This window comes from Homo sapiens, chromosome 17, assembly GCF_000001405.40.
Source record: "Homo sapiens chromosome 17, GRCh38.p14 Primary Assembly".
Lineage (NCBI taxonomy): Eukaryota > Metazoa > Chordata > Mammalia > Primates > Hominidae > Homo > Homo sapiens.
The window spans coordinates 34,979,316-34,997,664 of record NC_000017.11 but is presented as its reverse complement, the minus strand read 5'-3'; the positions used below and the strand labels follow the sequence as shown (position 1 = coordinate 34,997,664).

General features: G+C 45.9%; 1 protein-coding gene across 10 annotated transcripts in view, besides 1 other annotated feature; it reads right to left on the bottom strand.

Moving 5' to 3' along the window:
* The window catches only part of LIG3 (DNA ligase 3), a 30,361-nt gene extending 13,208 nt beyond the window's left edge, over window positions 1-17,153 (bottom strand). For 4 of the 10 annotated variants that reach the window (XM_047435968.1, XM_047435971.1, XM_005257970.5 and 1 more), the window contains exons 1-11: window positions 17,068-17,153; window positions 14,113-14,663; window positions 11,534-11,677; window positions 8,002-8,199; window positions 6,551-6,702; window positions 5,828-5,994; window positions 5,630-5,707; window positions 4,973-5,141; window positions 3,234-3,389; window positions 1,470-1,601; window positions 1,012-1,091 (exon numbers count right to left, since the gene is read on the bottom strand). In XM_047435968.1, coding sequence (XP_047291924.1) covers window positions 1,012-1,091; window positions 1,470-1,601; window positions 3,234-3,389; window positions 4,973-5,141; window positions 5,630-5,707; window positions 5,828-5,994; window positions 6,551-6,702; window positions 8,002-8,199; window positions 11,534-11,677; window positions 14,113-14,663; window positions 17,068-17,090 — 1,850 coding nt within the window. In that variant the 5' untranslated portion in view covers window positions 17,091-17,153. Of the gene's footprint in view, window positions 1-1,011; window positions 1,092-1,469; window positions 1,602-3,233; window positions 3,390-4,972; window positions 5,142-5,629; window positions 5,708-5,827; window positions 5,995-6,550; window positions 6,703-8,001; window positions 8,200-11,533; window positions 11,678-14,112; window positions 14,664-16,107; window positions 16,198-16,506; window positions 16,864-17,042 lie in introns of those variants that run through there. The other 6 variants (XM_047435969.1, NM_013975.4, NM_002311.5 and 3 more) reach the window with 4 other exon arrangements.
* Window positions 16,699-17,128: a silencer, noted in NCBI's record as "silent region_8432". NCBI's record gives its function as "represses an Ori minimal core promoter by ATAC-STARR-seq in GM12878 lymphoblastoid cells {active_cell/tissue: GM12878}" and the evidence as "EXISTENCE:reporter gene assay evidence [ECO:0000049][PMID:35858748]".

Sequence of the window (18,349 nt, the reverse complement as noted above, 5' to 3'; positions counted from 1 at the left end):
CCACAATGATAAAACTGCTACTTCAAGAAAGGGTTTGCCATGGATCAAAGACCTCATGTGTAACAGTTCTGCTGTCAAGGGCTACAAGGGCTCCATCGTGACCGAAGATGGAAAATTGTGAGCTGTGGCATAGAGCCAGTTCATAGTTGTAGTTCCTAGTTCTACTTCATCAAGCGAGCCAAGGGAGAACTGGCCTGTAGCCCAGATTGTATAAATTCTGGTCCCACTTGAAATACGACTCCAACTCTCATTTTTTATCCCCTGCACCCTGCTTTGCCCCGATCCCAAGGCCAACCCCGGGGTAGGCAGGCTGAGACAGGCCTTGGGACCCAAACCCCAAATCCTACCCCCACCAATTCCTTCCCTCTCTACTTCCTTCTCCTTCCCCAATCAAGGATGTGGCTGTTGCAGGAGGAACAGGGGTAGAGATACATTTCTAAGTGAGGAAAGGGCTGATACTGGTTTCTCAGGCACAAGCATATGGATGCAGCTAAGTCAAGACTGCTAATTCTCTCCAAGATGGTCCCACCCATGGCCTCCCCTATAATCCGGAGCTTCCTGTTGTCAGTCTCTTCTGAAATCAAAACCTCTGAGCTGAAAACCATCTGCCTTATGCCCCCAGGGGTGCCACTGGAGCCCCTAGGGGTGCCATTGGAGAAATAAACTGAAACCCCATATGCTCACAGTCTATTTCTCTGCAATAGTCCATTTTGCTTTAGTAGAGAAACTTCTTTGGGGGTTTGGGTTTCTTCTGTGACTTAAGCTCTCAGAGAAGAGATGGAGTCAACACATGGGCTCTTTCTTACACTGAATGGGGAACTGATCATGTAGCAATTGTGCTTCCTCTCAGCTCCCTCTTGCCATTGCCTTTGGCAAGCTCCTGAGCACAAACGTATGTGCCAGCTGGTTCCCTGTACCCTCCTTTCCAACCTGAAGCCCCCATCTTCCTCACCCAGGAAATGAAAACAGATTCCTGGCAGTTTCTGGGTTTAAAGATGCTAGCCAACTCACCTGTCCATCAAGCTGACATCATTAAAGTAGATACAATCAAAAACAAACAGGCAGACATTAGCATCCTGGAAGGCTGCTTTCTGTAAGGGAAAATGAGGTAGTAGGTACACATAGGACAAAAGTCAGTGTGAAAAAATAAGGAGTACCAGTCCACTTCTGGAGGCCCCCTGAGGCACCGGATGAAAAAGTACTATTTCTGCTCTGAAGCCCCTGGGCCATAAGGGCACTGAGCAGATAGTGCTAAATGGAAACCAACCCAGTTATAAACTGGTTCCCAATACCAGCCCCTTTTTAGGAGAAAAACAAAAGACAAAAATCCAAACCAGAAACAGGTCAGAAGCGAAGAATAAGGGCCACACTAAGGGATATTTCCTCCCTTTTCAGACCGCAGCGTGCACCCACATGTACATACTCACTCACACTCATTCATTCTTGCACATATGGCCCTGAGCTAGTACCTTGTGTACTCCCAGAGTCCCAAAGGGCAGTGGTTTGCCTGTCTTGTTGTCAATCAGAAGCACTTCAGAATCCAAGATCATGCTGTGGCCCCCAGGAAAAGCCTGGGGAATGTAGTCCTTAAAGTGGGCCACCTGAAAGCAGAAGGGGAGCTTTGGTGAGGGATGACATGGCAGCAGGGACCTCAAACCATGCCATGGAGGGCAAAGCCCGGGCCCAGACAGGATATAGAACAACATGTGGAAGGCCCAGCTAATGTGCAAAACATATAGCTAGGCCTTGCGAGCCACCTGGACAAGAGGGAGAGGCCATCTGTTTCAGTACTTCTGTCCGGGCCCAGGAAGAGGTCAACCCATGCTGGGTCACTTTCTATGGGCTGTAGAGAAGGTACAATTTTTGAGGAAAATGGAAGAAACAGATTAAACCTGTCGGGGGAGGAGGAGGAGGGTAGGTGGGCAGAGATTAGTGCCTACTGCAGAAGATGTGTGACTATCAGGCTGGGGACTGGATTAGGGGAGAACAGACTACTTGAAACCAGAAAGGTAGAAATGAACTCCCTCAGGTGCAGCAAGGAAACTTGAGCAGTGTCTTCTCTGAGTGGGAGCCCTGAACCCACAGCCATCACTACCCAGGATGCTTAGAGCAGGAACAGGAAAGGCCAGCACATCCATGCCATTCCCCTTCAATCCCTAACCTAGCCCTTTAAGAACCCAAATCACAGGAGAGGCAAAGGATGAGTGAATACTGGGTAAGGGAAAATTAAGGAAAGGACTAAATCTGGAAAAGTGTGCTCAGACTTCTTCCTGGGTCACAGATGGTGTCTATTTAACACCAACCTCACCAGAAACAGCTCCTGAGTGATTTGCAGTGCTTCACAGAACACGTGAACCTGCATTAAAGCTCCACAATGAGGCCACTGCTTAGCCTTCCTCTTGAACATATGAAACAAATGGCCTGACTGCTTTGTTCCCAATGCTCCAGCAGGAAGGCAAGGCTGAGGTAAGCACAGGCCACACAACATGTTCCCCTGAACCCCCTGAGGCTCTGAAAAACTGAGTCTGAGTTAGGAAAGAAAAGGATAGCAAAGATAGGAATTCCATCTGCTCACAAGCTACCGGAGCCAGATGTTCCAGCTGCTTTTCCCTGAAGACACTCCCAAAGGCTCACAGTATCCTTGGGAGTGGAGAAGGGCTAAGGAATAAGGTTCCAAATGCCACCCCTGATTAGAACAGGAATCTAGGCTCCTAGATGTCCCCATAAGACTGTGTTTACATCAGAATGTAAACTTCATGGTGGCCAGAACTTTTGTCCATTTTTTCCACTGCTATATCCCCACCAGCTGTAACAATGGGTAAGCATCTGATAAATAATTGTTGAACAAATTAATGAATGACAGCCCAATAGCCCCTGGTATATAAGCCTTAGTCTAGCTCACAGGAAGCATCTGGGACATGGAAACACAAAAGACACACAGCAACTCACCAACTGAGCTCACTGTCCCAATATCACTGTGGGCAAAAGAAGTATCACTGTTCCAGGGAGCTCTATCCTCACGAACCCAAGTCAGGGCTCTTTGGCTCTCCCTGCTGAGCAGCCCTTCATTATGGGAAGACTCCAAAAATGAATAAATGAATTAATTCATTCAACAAATAAAAAACAAACCCTTATTGTGTACCACAGCTGGAATGGCTATGGGACTCTGGCCCTGAGGTTGTTAGAGGCAGAAAGGGGAAAGACGGTCCTGGCAGAAAGGAAGGCACTCATACCTTGTGAGGAAGGACGGGCTTGAGACTGCGGCTGAAGTAGCTGAAGTGGTCTCCATTCTTATGCACCTGGACTCGCTCTCCATCGTACTTGATCTCAGAGAACATGCCATTGGGACATTTCTTCATTGCATACTCAACGGACTTGCAGGCCTCCGCCTTGGGGTGGGGAAAGCAAAGCCTGGAGACTTTCAATGAGGGGCTGCTAAGCAGCGACAGCCAGAGACCTTGCAACTGGGTTAGTGAGGGTAGTTACCTGGGTCTTGGGACTGACTGCCCACAATTAACGCTCAGGGAAGGCTGGTGAAGAGGTGATGGGAACGGAAAGGGCTGGGCAATGTTGTATTCTGCCTATGAAATAATCACCTGAGCTGACATAGGAGCTTGCCTTTTGAGGAATATGAATGCTATTCATTGTACAACAAGTAAAAGCCCAGTGAAACAAGATTTAATTCTTTTCTCAATAATTCAGGCCTTGCAAGACCTCTGGCTTATTATAAAACACATCAGTTCTCCCAGTAAAAGAGGTATGTGAAGCTAAGGTTAAAGAGTGCAGGTGACAGTGAGGCTGGCAGGGTGAGTGATCGTGGGTCCCTACAACAAACAGGGTTTCCAGATATTGGAGCACCTACTTACATGCCTACCTGTGCTAGCCTAACTCAAACAACAATAGCTACCATTTTGGGAGCGCTTCACATACATAATCTCATTTCATCCCCGATGTGACATCCTATGTGACAAATATTGTTTTCATTTTTGGATGATAAAACTGAAGGTTAGAGAGAATAGGTGCTTGCTTAAGTTACACTAAAAAATGGCAAGAATGAGATTTGAATCTAGGCCCACCTATAAAACCTGTGTGGTTAACCACTAAGCTATATAACCCATGCCAGTCTTTAAATGACAAACTATAGAACAGACTCCAGGAGGCATTTTTATAAAAGTCAGAAAGGCCACTACTGCAGGTGGCCGCAGTCCCATCTCTGGGATGGAGATCTCACTGTTTTGATGCTGGCTATCCCACATTCCTAGCAGGGAGAGAACACTTGCCTATCTCAAACATAAAACCCTAAACCAAGGTTTTAGTATGACAAACAAGACAGTTTCAAAAAAAGCACTGTACATCACTCAAAAATCCAAAGAATCTCACAGTAGGCATGGCACCATATGTGGTGGGCCCTGTCACACAGGAAAACCAACACTGGAAAGGAAACCCCATTTCTTACGAAATGAGCAGAGGCCTAAGATGATGTCTGTCAGAGTCAGCCTTCATTCCTTATGTGTCCTCCCTCTTCCCAAGTCACCCTGTCACAGGAAGCCTGGCTCTGCTACCAACTCTCAGATCTACTTTGCAGTAGGTCACAGAATCTCAGGGGTTACTTAATACATCCGTCTTCAGGTAAGATAACAGATAAATCATTCTAGGGGGATGCCTCAGGCAGTCTCAGACGTCATCCACACAGGAGACTGAAGGACAAGAGAGGCAAGTCACTCATCTAAGATTCTACAGCATCTTGGTGGCGTAGCTGGGCCTACAACTCAGGTCTTTCCACTAGATCCTCTGTCTTCTCCTTTGCCTTCGCCTCCTACAGAGAAATACCCCCTTGCACCTCCCTCTTCCTTCCCTAAACTTCTCCAGTCAATTTGCAAGTGCTCTCAACACTCATACCCTATCTGATCTCAGCCCAAAGGATGTGGAGCTTGGAGAGGCTGGAAAGCAGAGGCAGGGGAGCACTCCTCACCAACATGGGCTGCACAGGTGTCATCAGCGAGGCCTGGACGCTCAGAGCTCGTCTCTGGCCCGGCTCCTTCTCCACCTCCTGCGCGTTGTGAAGGACCCGCTCCACCACATCCTGCAGGTTGCGCGAGGCTTTGAAGGCTTCATAGGCATTGGGGTCAAGGGCGTCTAACCTGCCAAGGGGTACAGGAACAAGGAAACAAAACCACTGCCTTTGTTTGACTCCATGGCTTTGGACAGCAATCTGTCCTCACAGAAGAAATCCTCATCTGTAGGGAAGGGGTTGTGTTCTATTGTCTAAAGACTTTCACAAGAGGAGAGAAAGCTCTTGGAAAATTCAGCTCTTTTGAGATACTGTGCCTATGTGGATGCCGCCTTAGCGAGGAGGGGGCTGGAGTAGGCAAGAGACTCATACTATACTCACTGAACGTATGCCACACTTCAACTGTAAGAACTCTGTGAGAAAGGTACTGTTATCTCCATTTTATATGGGAAAAAATGGAGGCAGAGACAGGTCAAGTGACAGATCAGGGTCTCACAGAAAGTAAGAAGGTGGAAGGGGGATTCAAATCCTGACTGGGACTCAAAAGTCCTGACACCAGTTGGGAACAAACAAAGCTAACAAATGACAGCTCAGGCTGTCAGCGGAGCTGCTACTTACACATGTTTTGCACCTGAGTTCATCTTCAGATCATGTTTGATCAACCTGATGATGCATTTAAGGTCATTGGCTGTACACCTAGGGGGATGAAGCACATTTAACTTGGTCTTGAAGAGCTCTGGAACCCCAAGGGAACCTTCCCTTCCCAAGAGAGTTCATCTCTCTATGGGCATGGTTTGACGGAGGCAGCTCCCCCACCTGGAGGCAATGTCCTGTAGGGCCTGTTGCTGCTCATCCTCCTTGGTGAGCTTGGACAGCCGCAGAAGGAACTCATCCACTTCCTGGATGGTAAGGAGGCTCTTGGCAGCTGGGGGGAAAGACTTGCTCTGCTCAAAGAAGACTCTGATTGTCTCTGACACGTCACCCTGTCTCCAAAAACCAAAATGCCACTGCTGCAACCCTAGGGTGGCCAAGTGTATCCCCCAAGACCCAGGACTGAAGATGAATCAAGAAATTTCAATCATAGCTCCTATCCCAACTCAACATATCTAGCCCACTTCTTAGAGACACTAGCCCATCCACAATTCCTAGAAGGGGATGGAAACTTGCCATGGTACCAGGGATAGAGTCACGGACAAACCAAAGCTTGGTAAAGCCAAGTTATAGGAGAAAACAAGCAAGAAAAAAAGAGTCCAGAATAAAAGCCCCAGGAGAGACAGAGGGGGCAAGTCTCAAATTCTGCCTTTTGAGAACCAGGCCTTTGTGGTTCAGCAGTTGTATGGTTTCCACCCTCAGAAACTTAAGAAATTAAGAGCTATAGCCTCACATTCAGCTCCCCCTATAACGGAAGCTTGCTCAAATGGGTTTCAGTTTCCTAAAACAGTATGTGTCCCAACCAGAAAAAAAAAAAGAGGCTGCAGGTGCCTGGCTTGGCAAAACCCCACCTGGAATGTAGCCTACCCTCCCTCCCGTTCCTCTGACCTGCTCTAGGTCCCGTGCCATATCATCTGGGTTGCAGTTAAAAATGCGACTGAAAAGCTTCACAATCTGCTTATCGTTCAAGTTGTAAACAGTCTTAATGACTCCTGGCAGCAGCAGCTTCACTGTTAGGTACACATCACCGTGGAAACCATCTGGAGACAGAAGGAACCCTTCTTGAGAAATAGAGCTTAAACAAATAAATATATAAACTCAAAGAAGGCTGGGCAAGGTGGCTCACACCTGTAATCTCAGCACTTTGGGAGGCCGAAGCAGGAGAATTGCTTAAGCTCACAAGTTTGAGACCACCCTGGCAACAAAGAAAGACCCCATCTCTACAAAAAATTAAAAAATTAGCTGGACATGGTGGCATATGCCTATGGTTCCAGCTACTTGCAGGAGAAGACAGGAGGGTTGCTTTAGCTCAGGAGGTCGAGGCTATAGTGAGCTGTGATCACACCACTGTACTCCAGCCTGGGCGACAGAGCAAGACACTGTCTCACACACACACACAAAAATAAATAAAAAAATAAACTCAGACCGCGCATGGTGGCTCACGCCTGTGATCCCAGCACTTTAGCAGGTTGAGGTAGGCAGATTAATTGAATCCAGGAGTTTGAGACCAACCTGGGCAAAACAGCAAAACCCCGTCTCTACAAAAAATACAAAAATTAGCCAGGCATAGCGGCACATGCCTATAGTCCCAGCTACTTGGGAGGCTGAGGCAGAAGGACTGCTTGAGCCCAGGAGGCGGAGGTTGCAGTGAGCTGAGATTGCACCCATGCGCTCCAGCCTGGGCAACACAGCCACATTTTTTGTCTCAATAAATAAACAAACAAACAAACTCAAAGAAGCAGAGACCAAAAGATATCTATATATCGCTGCCCATGCTCCTATAGTACCCTGTGCATATCGCTATAGTAGGAGACAGCATGGAGTTCAGAGGCTGGTGGATTGTGTCTGCCTCACCTTTAGCCTACAGATGAACTCTTGTTGGACAGAGTGGTTAGTTTCACTTCACGTGCCCAGTGACAAGGACATCAGAGATGCTCATCGACAATTTGTTAGATAAATGAAAGAAACAGAGTTGGAAGATTCTATTCCAAACTGTGTATATGGTTCACAAAAACCTAATTAAATATGTAGGACAGTAAATTTTCTAACTAGTCAAATAGGATGGGTTCTTCTGGCCTCCTAGGAGCAGAATAAGGGGAGAGGAAGACAGATGCCAAAGTGCTCTGAGAAAAACTGGCTACATAATTTGTGGAGTACAGTGCAAAATGCAAATGCGAGGCCCCTTGTTCAAAATTATTAAGAATTTCCAGATAGCACTACAGTACAGCATTAAACCAAGCATGGGATCCCGGGCAACTATACAGCTCACATGCCCAGGAAGGCAGCCATGGCCTTGAGCTCTCCGGAGGAAAGGCCTATTCAGGATGCTCATGCCACACCTCCTGCTGAGCCTTTCCGAAGGAAGTCCTGGATGATCTGGGTCTTCGTGTTGTAGCTAGGATTATCGGCCACCATGGCGCATAACTTTCGAAACTCCCGTAGCAGACAGTCCTTATGCCTGGGGTCACATTTGCTTGAAGACAGACTTCTCTTAGGGGTGGGGCTCGAGGGGGCTTCCCCAGAGTTGTTGGGCTTGGCTGTTGGAGAAACAACAGAGATGAATTCATTCTGCCTTTCTGAGAAGAAAGAAAGGGAAGGAAGGAAACTAACAGATATTCTGCTGGTATTTAGCTTTATTTAATCTCCCCGAATAGACTTTTGGGGTAGATGTCATTATATCCATCTTACAGATAAAGAAATGGAGGCCAAGTAATTTTCCCAAATCTTACAGCTAATAAATAATGTTAAAGGAACAATGGCCTCCTTAGACCCAAGCAAAAGACCAGACTGATGTGCATCTCTTTATGTGAGCACTTTACTGAAGAATAAAGACCAAAGTCATGCCAAGAATGATCAGGACTGGCTGGGCACAGTGGCTCACGCCTGTAACCCTAACACTATGCGAGGCCAACGCGGGAGGACTGCTTGAGCCCAGGAGTTCGAGACCAGCCTGGGCAACATAGTAAGATCCTGCCTCAAAAAAAAAAAGTGGTCAGAAGGATCTCAGAGCAATTGTAAAGCTGATCCCAGAAAAGCTGGCATGAGAAAGGGGTAAGAAATCAAGTACGTGTTAGACAATGTGAAATTACTGCTATCACAGGTTGTCAGAGCTGGAAGAAGCCTTAAAGATTATCTAGTTCAATGTTCTCTTACTGATAAGGGGACTGAGGTCTGAGAAGAGCAAATGACTTCCTGGCCCACTTCCTTGTTGAAAGAGCCAGGACAAAGACACTACTAAGAAAGTCAGATTCCATTAGTACACTCAACATCCCTACCCCTCGCTGCTTCAACTTTTCTTTTCTTATTGTCAAAATAAAACCCTGCTCCCCAAGGAGCAGTTATAAAAAAAAAATAATACATTTTTACAAAAGGTGGTCAAGGGGCAGGGATTTCCTCCAGACACTTAAAAATAATTATGTGCAACTCATCGGTGATTCCCTTTCACCTCCTTGTGACCATTTAAAAAGCAAATTTTATTCGGCAAACTTGTGGCAGAGCCATTACTAAGCTAACTGCTGTTGTACACTGTTTCTTGTCTGGGCTTTGTAAATTATAAATCCATCCTCATCTCTGATCCGGAATCTAAATATGATTTTAGGGGACAAAATCTCCAAAGTGTCAATGTTCAACCAGGTTGCAAGAACTAAAACACTCTCTTTCTCTCAACTCCTCCCAAATTCCATCCCCAACACCGGAGCCCTTCCAGAAACATGCTGTCCTTATCATCACCTGGACTCTTCTCTATCTTTGGCCTACCAGCAAACAACAAACCAACCAACCTCAGAATTTTTTTTTTTTTTTTTTTTTTTTTTGAGACAGAGTCTCGCTGTCGCCCAGGCTGGAGTGCAGTGGCGCGATCTTGGCTCACTGCAGGCTCTGCCCCCAGGGTTCATGCCATTCTCCTGCCTCAGCCTCCTGAGTAGCTGGGACTACAGGTGCCTGCCACCACGCCCGGCTAATTTTTTTATTTTTAGTAGAGACAGGGTTTCACTGTGTTAGCCAGGATGGTCTCGATCTCCTGACCTCGTGATCCGCCCGCCTCGGCCTCCCAAAGTGCTGGGATTACAAGTGTGAGCCACCGCGCCCGGCCCAGAATTTTTAAATAATAAAAATCCTATAGAGCCAGGCACCGTTTTTGCAATGTTATCTCTTACAGTCCTCATGAGAACACTATGGGGTAGATGAGGCATGGAGATATGATGAAGCTTAAACAAATAAATACACAAACTCACTGAAGCAGAGGGGAAAGTAATCTATATATTGCTGCCTGTGCTCCTATAGCACCCTGTGCATAGCACTATGGTAGGAGAGGCCACTGCTGCTTCATAGACAGAGGCTAAAGAGAGGTAAGGACGTGCTCAGGGATCTGAGCTGTCAAGGACCAGAACCCAAGTCTTCTGACCTCAGGTCTAGGCTTCTTTCAATCACATAAAATGTCTTTCAATCTCCAAATGACTTCTAAAATAAGGCCAAGTGGTTTGGCTTTATTTATTTTCTTCAGCTGAGTCAATCACAAGAATGTCTCCAAACAATAAAAGCAGCAACACAGTGTAGTATAAAAGAGCACAAGTACTGAAGTCAGACTTCAGTACAAATACTAACTCCATGATAACCCTGAACGTCAACTTTCTCAGTCATAAAAAGGGCCTAATAAAAAGTACTTCCTAAATAAAAGTACTGTCTAGGGTTAACTGAAGAAGAAATGAAACTACATATATAAAAGCCCCTAGTCCAATGCTGTCTGTTTACGTAAGGCCAATAAATGATCCTGATCTTCTCAACTCCTATCTATACCACATGCCCCAGCAAAGTCTTCCTGAATCCCTGTCTATGAAATAGTAATTCTATATTTTATATAAAAGAAACTATATATGTGTGTATACACGTGTGTGCATGTGTGTATTTTAGTGAAGAGAACAGGAAACTTAACACTTTATTGTTCATCTGTCCTACAAATAATAGCCACAGTCCTCCCCTTTAGGAGATGGGATTTGAACCCAGAGCTCACTGATTCCAAAGTCTGCAAGCTTCATCCCTAGGCTGTACTGCCTCCCAACAAATAGCAATATCCTTCAGATCTTTTTTTCCTTCCTTTGTGTTCCATGAAGTTCCAGTGTTTTGAATAAACAGTTTTAAGAATCAAGAAGGGAGATCCATGCATGACATCTCCCTTCTTTCATACTTTCATTTCTAGGCATATTCAGGGAAACAATTTCTCAAAATTCTTTCATTATCAAAACACAAGGAAGTAAAAGACAGGTTCTAATAATCTCTGTCTGGCCCAGGTAACTATTTCAAGGGGAAAAAGTCTTGACAAAACAAATCTTTCCGCTGCGATAGAGGTTAAAGTATACAAAGAAATGCTATACAAGTGGAATGCTGGCCGAGCGCAGTGGCTCACGCCTGCAATCCCAGCACTTTGGGAAGCTGGGGCAGGTGGATCACCTGAGGTCAGGAGTTTGAGACCAGCCTGGCCAACGTGGCGAAACCCCATCTCTACTAAAAATACAAAAATTAGTCAGGCATGGTGGCAGGTGCCTGTAATCCCAGCTACTTGGGAGGCTGAGGTGGGAGAATCGCTTGAACCCAGGAGGCGGAGGTTGCAGTGAGCTGAGAATGCACCACTGCACTCCAGCTTGGATGACAGAGCAAGATTTCATCTCAAAAAAACCCCCAAAACCAAAAAACAAACAAACAAACAAAAACCAAGCGGAAGGCTTAGAATTAGCCATTACCAGTCTCTGCTCAGACAGAAGCAAATTATTAATGAGATGAGATAGCACAGAATTTTCACTCTTTAGCCAGAATCCTAGGTAGAATACAAAATAAAAGCAGCACTATAACAGCTAAAGTAGCCCTAACCTATCTTACCTGAAAAGCCAGAAAATTTCCGGGGATTGGTACTGGTGACAAATGAGGCGCCTTTCACTGGAGAAGTCACCTGGCCAGTGGTTGTCAACTTAGCCTGGACAACAGCTTTCTTCTTTGGTGTACCTGCTGCCTTAGAAGACAGATCTGTAGGATCCCAAAAGAGTATAAAATATCCTTCAGTGAACGATCTCTGAAAAAAACATCCAAAGAATCTATCAACTGCTCCTAGGGCCTTGCTTGTTAAGTCACTACCCTAGCACTAGCCCAAGGCTGGCTGGTGGCTGGTATTTTTTGAGTGGGGGTAGTAGGTAATAGGGTATTGTGGGGACAGAAGGGAAGGATATGCTGGAGACAAAAGATCCAGTTACCATTTATCTCTATTAGTACCTTAAATTTTCATCAACATTCTCCACTTCTTATCCCATATGTAAGTCTCCAGAAATAACAATTTGGGGGAAATCAGAAATCATAGTTTGATGGATAAAACTTAGGGAACCCCCAACCCCACAGAATTAGCTTCAATTTAGAGATGAACAAAAAGTAAATGAGGATCACAGAGCATGTCAACCTAGCATAGGAAGGAAAATTTCCAGATGCTTAGTTATCTGAGTCATGAACTCTACCTGTATTTCTCTTCCTCCAAATGAGAGATGGGTCAAGAAGTAACAAAGGCCGAGGCCAATAGCTAAGGCAGTGCAAGGTGGGATGGGGAGCCTGAGAATAAAGTATATGGGAAGCACAGTTTTCTTTCCCGGAAGTCTTTTTTCCTTTCAAAGAACAAGGACAGATACCCATTTTTAGAGCCATTGTTAACTGTCTTCCTATGGTGACCAGAACTAAGTTGAAGATATGAACATTATTTTACAGACACTGAAGGTCAAAGAGGACTAACTGGATTTGGGGGTATTGGCATAAAATTTCTAAAATATGCATATGTAAATATGCATGTACATGCAAACATGTTATATATAGCCATATATAGGTATGAATTTTACATGCATATACACGCACATATTTTCTAGCTCTGTCTGCTGAAAGGGCTTAGAAACAGACATGCCATGGCTGGGCGCTCAGGCCTGTAATCCCAGCACTTTGGGAGGCCAAGGTGGGTGGATCACTTGAAGTCAGGGGTTCAACACCAGCTGGACCAACATGGTGAAACCCTGTCTCTACTAAAAACACAAAAATTAGCTGGGTGTGGTGTCAAGTGCCTGTAGTCCCAGCTACTTGGGAGGCTGAGACAGGACAATTGCTTGAACCTGGAAGGCAGAGGTTGCAGTGAGCTAAGACAGTGCCACTGCACTCCAGCCTGGGTCACAGAGTGAGACTCTGTCTCAAAAAAAAAAAAAAGAAGAAACAGATACCCCATGACAATGTGTTCACATAGTATCCGGGTTTTACTCTTTAATACCATTTCCCACTAACAGGATAGTGCCACTACACTCCAGCCTGGGTCAGAGTGAGACTCTCAAAAAAAAAAAAAAGAAGAAACAGATACCCCATGACAATGTGGACACATAGTATCCAGGTTTTACTCTTTAACAGGGGCATTTCCCACTAACAGGAATCCCCAGAGAAATTACCAATTTCAGGGCTGGGGAAGGATACATACGGGATAAGACTAAAAGCATCTTGCTATGCTCAAGAGTAAAGAAGTACATTAAAAAAAGTTAATGAAGGTATACAGGACACAGAGGACAGTGTAAAGGGGTTCCTAATTGGCCAAATATGGGACAATTAAGTATCAAATTAGTTAAGTACAGTAATGAATTATATGCTACAAGAAAAAAAGTAAAAGAGGATAGTAATCAGTACTCTATTCTTCCAAAATATCAATGTCATAAAAGAGAGACTATGGAAATATTTCAGATTAAAGGAGGCCAAAGAAACATGACAACTAAATGCAACACCTGATATGATCCTAGACTGGGATCCTATACTGCAGGAAAAGGCTACTGAAGGTATGACTCAATCCATTGACAAAATAGTATACAGATGGTAGATTTAAGTATTACATCAAGGACAAATTTTCTGAAGATGATAGCTATATTATAGTCGCATAAGGGTCATATATCCTATTCTTAAGGTATATACACTGAAGAATTTTAAAGGGCCATGATGTATGCAACTTATTCTCAAATGGTTTAAAGTGAGTGCACGCACACGTGTGTATGTATGTAGAGAGAGACAGCACATGAACAAATATGATAAAGCAAATAGAGTAAAATGTTAATAGGTAAATATGGGTAAAAGGAATATGAATGTTCTTTGTACTATTTTTAATCTTCCAACACTTCAGTGAGTTTAAAATTATTTCCAAATAAAACGTTAAAGGCTGGGCATGGTGGCATGCGCCTGTAATCCCAACTACTTGGGAGGCTGAGTCAGGATGACCTGAGTCCAGCAGTGCAAAGCTGCAGTGAGCTACGAATGCAACATTAAACACTGGCCTAGGCAACAGAGTGAGACCCCATCTCTAAAAGAGCAAAGTTAAAAAAAAGAGAAAGAAAGCAGTTGAACTCCTTATCCCTTTTTCTCTCAGCACCAGTAAGATGAGAAAGCAGTGTTCTCTACCTTACCTGCAATGTGCTGGGTTATCTGTTCCTTCTCATTATCTTCCAGCTCTTCCCAGCCTTCCAGCTCTGTGAGGTCCTCGATTTTTTTTGTGGTGGCCCGGGCCCGCTCTAGTTTCTCAAACATGCATTTAATGTGGTACCACTCTTTCATATCACCCCCAGACTCTGAGAAGGGATTGGGCACCACTTTGCCAATTCGGCATACGCCCTTCACAATCTTTTCCTTGCATTTTTTGCAGCCAGCTGTGCCACGCTTGGCATAGTCCACACAGAACCGTTGCTCAGCCATCTCACAGGGGCCACTGCAGAGTCCCACATGCAACCCTGGCAAGAAAACAAGGTAGGTGGCACGTGATCTTAGATGGCTTCCCTGGAATGATAGAACAGGCTTTCTTCTCAGGAAGAGGGGATGTCCATGAAGCAGATCTGTTTCTGACCACTGGCTGAATTGTCTTACATCACGCCAGTGATGTTTTCGGAATAGGCACAGTTCTTTTCGGCTGAGTGCACGGAGGGTTTGTGGAAAGAAGATCTTGAAAGCCAAAGACATATAGCTGTACGAAAGAGTAGGAGGCCAAAAAAAAAAAAAAAAGATATAAACAAGGAGATAGGCTTCCAATTTTCCAAAGGCCAGCGTCTTATATAGTCCATGATGACTAATCAAACACTTTCCAAAGTATTACATTCATAGTCTACTCTACAGCATGAAAGAGTTCTGATACAGGAAAAGCCAGCTCGCAGCAGGATGTTCAATTATCTAATGCACACATGTACATCTAGTACATCACAATGAAGAAAATCCAAATAACATAAAAGCTCTTTTTAGGCCATCAGCAACATATGATACTCATAATGGATGATGACCTTTAAGTATTACAAGATCCTGAACTTTCTTTTTTTTTTTTTTTGAGGCGGAGTTTCACTTTAATTGCCCAGGCTGGAGTACATTGGCGCGATCTTGGCTCACCGCAACCTCCTCCTCTCGGGTTCAAGCGATTCTCCTGCCTCAGCCTCCCTAGTAGCTGGGATTACAGGCATGCGCCACCACGCCCGGCTAACTTTTTTGTATTTTTAATGGAGACGGGGTTTCTTCTTGTTGGTCAGGCTAGTCTCCAACTCCCGACCTCAGGTGATTCGCCCGCCTCGGCCTCCCAAAGTGCTGGGATTACAGACATGAGCCACCGTGCCTGGCCCTGAAGTTTCGTTTTAATCACCAGTAAAAATTACATTATGTTCATGAAGTTTTTATTGTGAAGTTTAACACATATGCCATCCTCAGAAATCAAGCCACTATATAGATTTGGAATTGAGTTAGAATCCCTATATTGAGAGACAACTAAGCAGAGCCTGGAATCAGACTGCCTGAGTTCAAATCCTAACTCAGCCACTTACCAGCTGTATAACCTTGATGGGTTTCTTACCTCTGTTCCTGAGCTTCCTTATCTGTAAAATGTGGCTAATTATGGGGCCTAACTTAAAGAGCTGTTCTAAGAGTAAAACCCTTAAAACAGTTGGGCACACAGCAAGAGCTCTCATTAACGTCAGCTCCTATTATGATCGGTGACGTCGTTATCTTTCAAGAAGAGGCTTCCGATGTGCAATTAACCTGTTTATCATTCAGCAACTTGAATCAGAGAATGCTGAAGTCACTGGGCAGCAAGACTCACAGGAACTCATAAATCAATCCAAATGGAAAAAGATTATATCAGCATCTTCTTATATTCATGTTTTCTAAAGCATTTTATAGTCCTAGTTTTAAGTATACTGGAATTATGTTCAGTCTGCACACGCTGTGAAGCAAAATTGCTGTCACGTTATAATAAAAAGCAGGCTTTGCTTACTGTAGTGCAACATGATGTGAAGGAAAGCTGGTGGACCTGGAATAAGGGATGGGAGTGCAAGTCTGACTGTACAGTTTACTGACTGTTACCTCGGAGAAAACTCTTAATTTATCTGCATCTGTTTTCTTATTTCTAAAGCAGGGTAAATAATACCTACCTCACAGGGTAGTTGGGAAAATTACAAGGAATCCATGAATGCGCTGGTTGTGGGGGAGGGAGGCTGTTCTGAGCTCTCTAAAAATGTATACAAAATGTACATTCGATAAAAATGCACGGTTTTTTGGAGGAGGTCTATCACTTTCGTGATATTCACAAAGGGCTATATAACTCCCAAAGTTTAAGAACCACAGAGGTGAGGTAAGTGGAAGTACGGCAGACCCATAAAAGGAGGTCAGAACAAGTGAGTTTCAACACTTTTCCTAGAAGATCAATTTACAGAGCAACCTCTAGGGCCCCAATAATGAAAGGAGTGGACTTGAGGGAGGCTCGGGAGGCGCTGGGCCACGAGGAGGCACAATGCAGCTTTGAGGAAACCCGTCTGTCCCTCGTTCCGCACCCTCACAACTGCCGCAGCCCAGGGGCCCGAGAAGGAAATCGCTGAGGCCTGGCCGCCGCCGCTTTTCTCGAAGGGCTTCCCGCGCCGCTGTCGGAGAGTGGCGGGGACAGTGGGGTCGGCGGCGTAGGCCGCGACCCCCGGCGAGGCAGAAAGGAGCGCTCCTCCACCGGGTCCGGGACGCAGGCGGGAAGTGATCAAGGCTCCCTGAGTCCCACCCGAGCGCTCCCGGTTCAGCGCAGGAGGACGCACGCCGGGCCAGGGTACGAGAAGGCCCCGTGGGTTCCACAGGGAACACAGCCCGGGCGCCGGCCTCCCCGCCTCACGCGGCCCCGTGGGGGTCCCGGGGAGCCGCGAGCCTCCCCCTGGGCTCCCGGGAGGGCCGCCACGTCACGGAGGGTGTGCCCCGGGGCTCCGCAGGCGGGCGGGGGAGGAGCCGGGGGGCTGGCTCCCCGGCCGCGCCGAGCTCCTCGCCCCGGGCCCGCTGCCTTCCCCACGCCGGGCCCCGCCGCGCCGTGCCGCGCCGCGTAGCCCCTCACCTGCCTCTCCGGCTCCGGCGCTCACCGTAGGCCTCGGAACTTGCTCATTACAGGCCGCGGGCAGCCCACGACGGTTGGAGCGCCTGTCTCTTTAAATCCGGGTCCTAGAGCGGGAGGCAGCGCGCAGGCGCAAGAGCCAAGGCCGCGGCCACGCGACCGGTCCCCGCCCCCGTCTGCCACGTGGGTCGTAGTTGCATTCTGCCTGCCCTGTGATGTTTGGGAGTAGTTTTCAACCTGCAATCGCGGCCCGGGAAGCGGAGGTGGGGGGACGTGGCGGCTCCTCGGAACGCAGCCTGGCCTGAACTTCCGAGGCTCCCCTTGATTTTCTCATACTGTTAGAGAGGATCTGTTTTTAAAGATATTGGTGGAGAAACTATATTGTAATGAGGTCGGGGAAGGCAAAGATCGCGTCAATCTATTTTTTAAATATAATCCCTCTGTTTGTGTCCCGCAGACTCCCTAGTAAATAGTTTGTATTCAGTAGCTTTCATGGAATTGAGACGAGGCACTAAACAGCAGATAGATATAAAATGTAAAGGAGTGATGGAGGAGAAACTCCTTGATTGTATATCATTCAAAGTGTATTATCTCAAATCTGAAGCCAGCTCTTTGAGAGTTGGGATGGCGATTTTTACAAATGTAGCAGCCTGAGGGTAAGTGACCTCTTCAGAGTCTAGGAAGAGCAAACAACTGGGCCTTGTTAGGTAAGCAAAGAACAGGTTCCCGAGAGAATTCTGTGCTGTGTGATGAAGAGTGTCGTCTTTACTCTGTAGAGGACGGAGAGCCATGAAGAGTCTTAGGGAATACTGCTGAAGCTGGGTGGGGAGAGACTGAGGCAAGGGAACAAATCAGAAGGCTCTCATAGTGACCCATGTGGGAGATGATTCAGCTAGTTAGGGTGGAGAGTAAAGTGCGTTTTTGAAGATCATTTAGAATTTAAATGATCTTCTAGATAAAGTGCTCGTTTATGGATAAAATAATAATAATTTGAGTGAGCAGAAACATAATGGTACCATCAACTGAAATAGAAAATAGAGAGGAAGAGGAGGTGTTAGGGTTAGAAAGATGAGTTTTGTATTGGATACATTAAGTTTGTTTGACTAAGTTTAACTGCGATTCTACTGTTTGGAGGGGAGTAAAGCCTGCTTTTAATGCGCAGCAGAATGAACCAGGGCTTTGGTTCAACCAGGCAATTGGAAGGTCGCTGGAGACTCACGTCCTAGCTATGATAATTGAGTGATCTTGAGCACGTCTCTACAACTACATTTGCTACATTTTTTTAAGTTTCCTCAACCGTATCTGTCTTT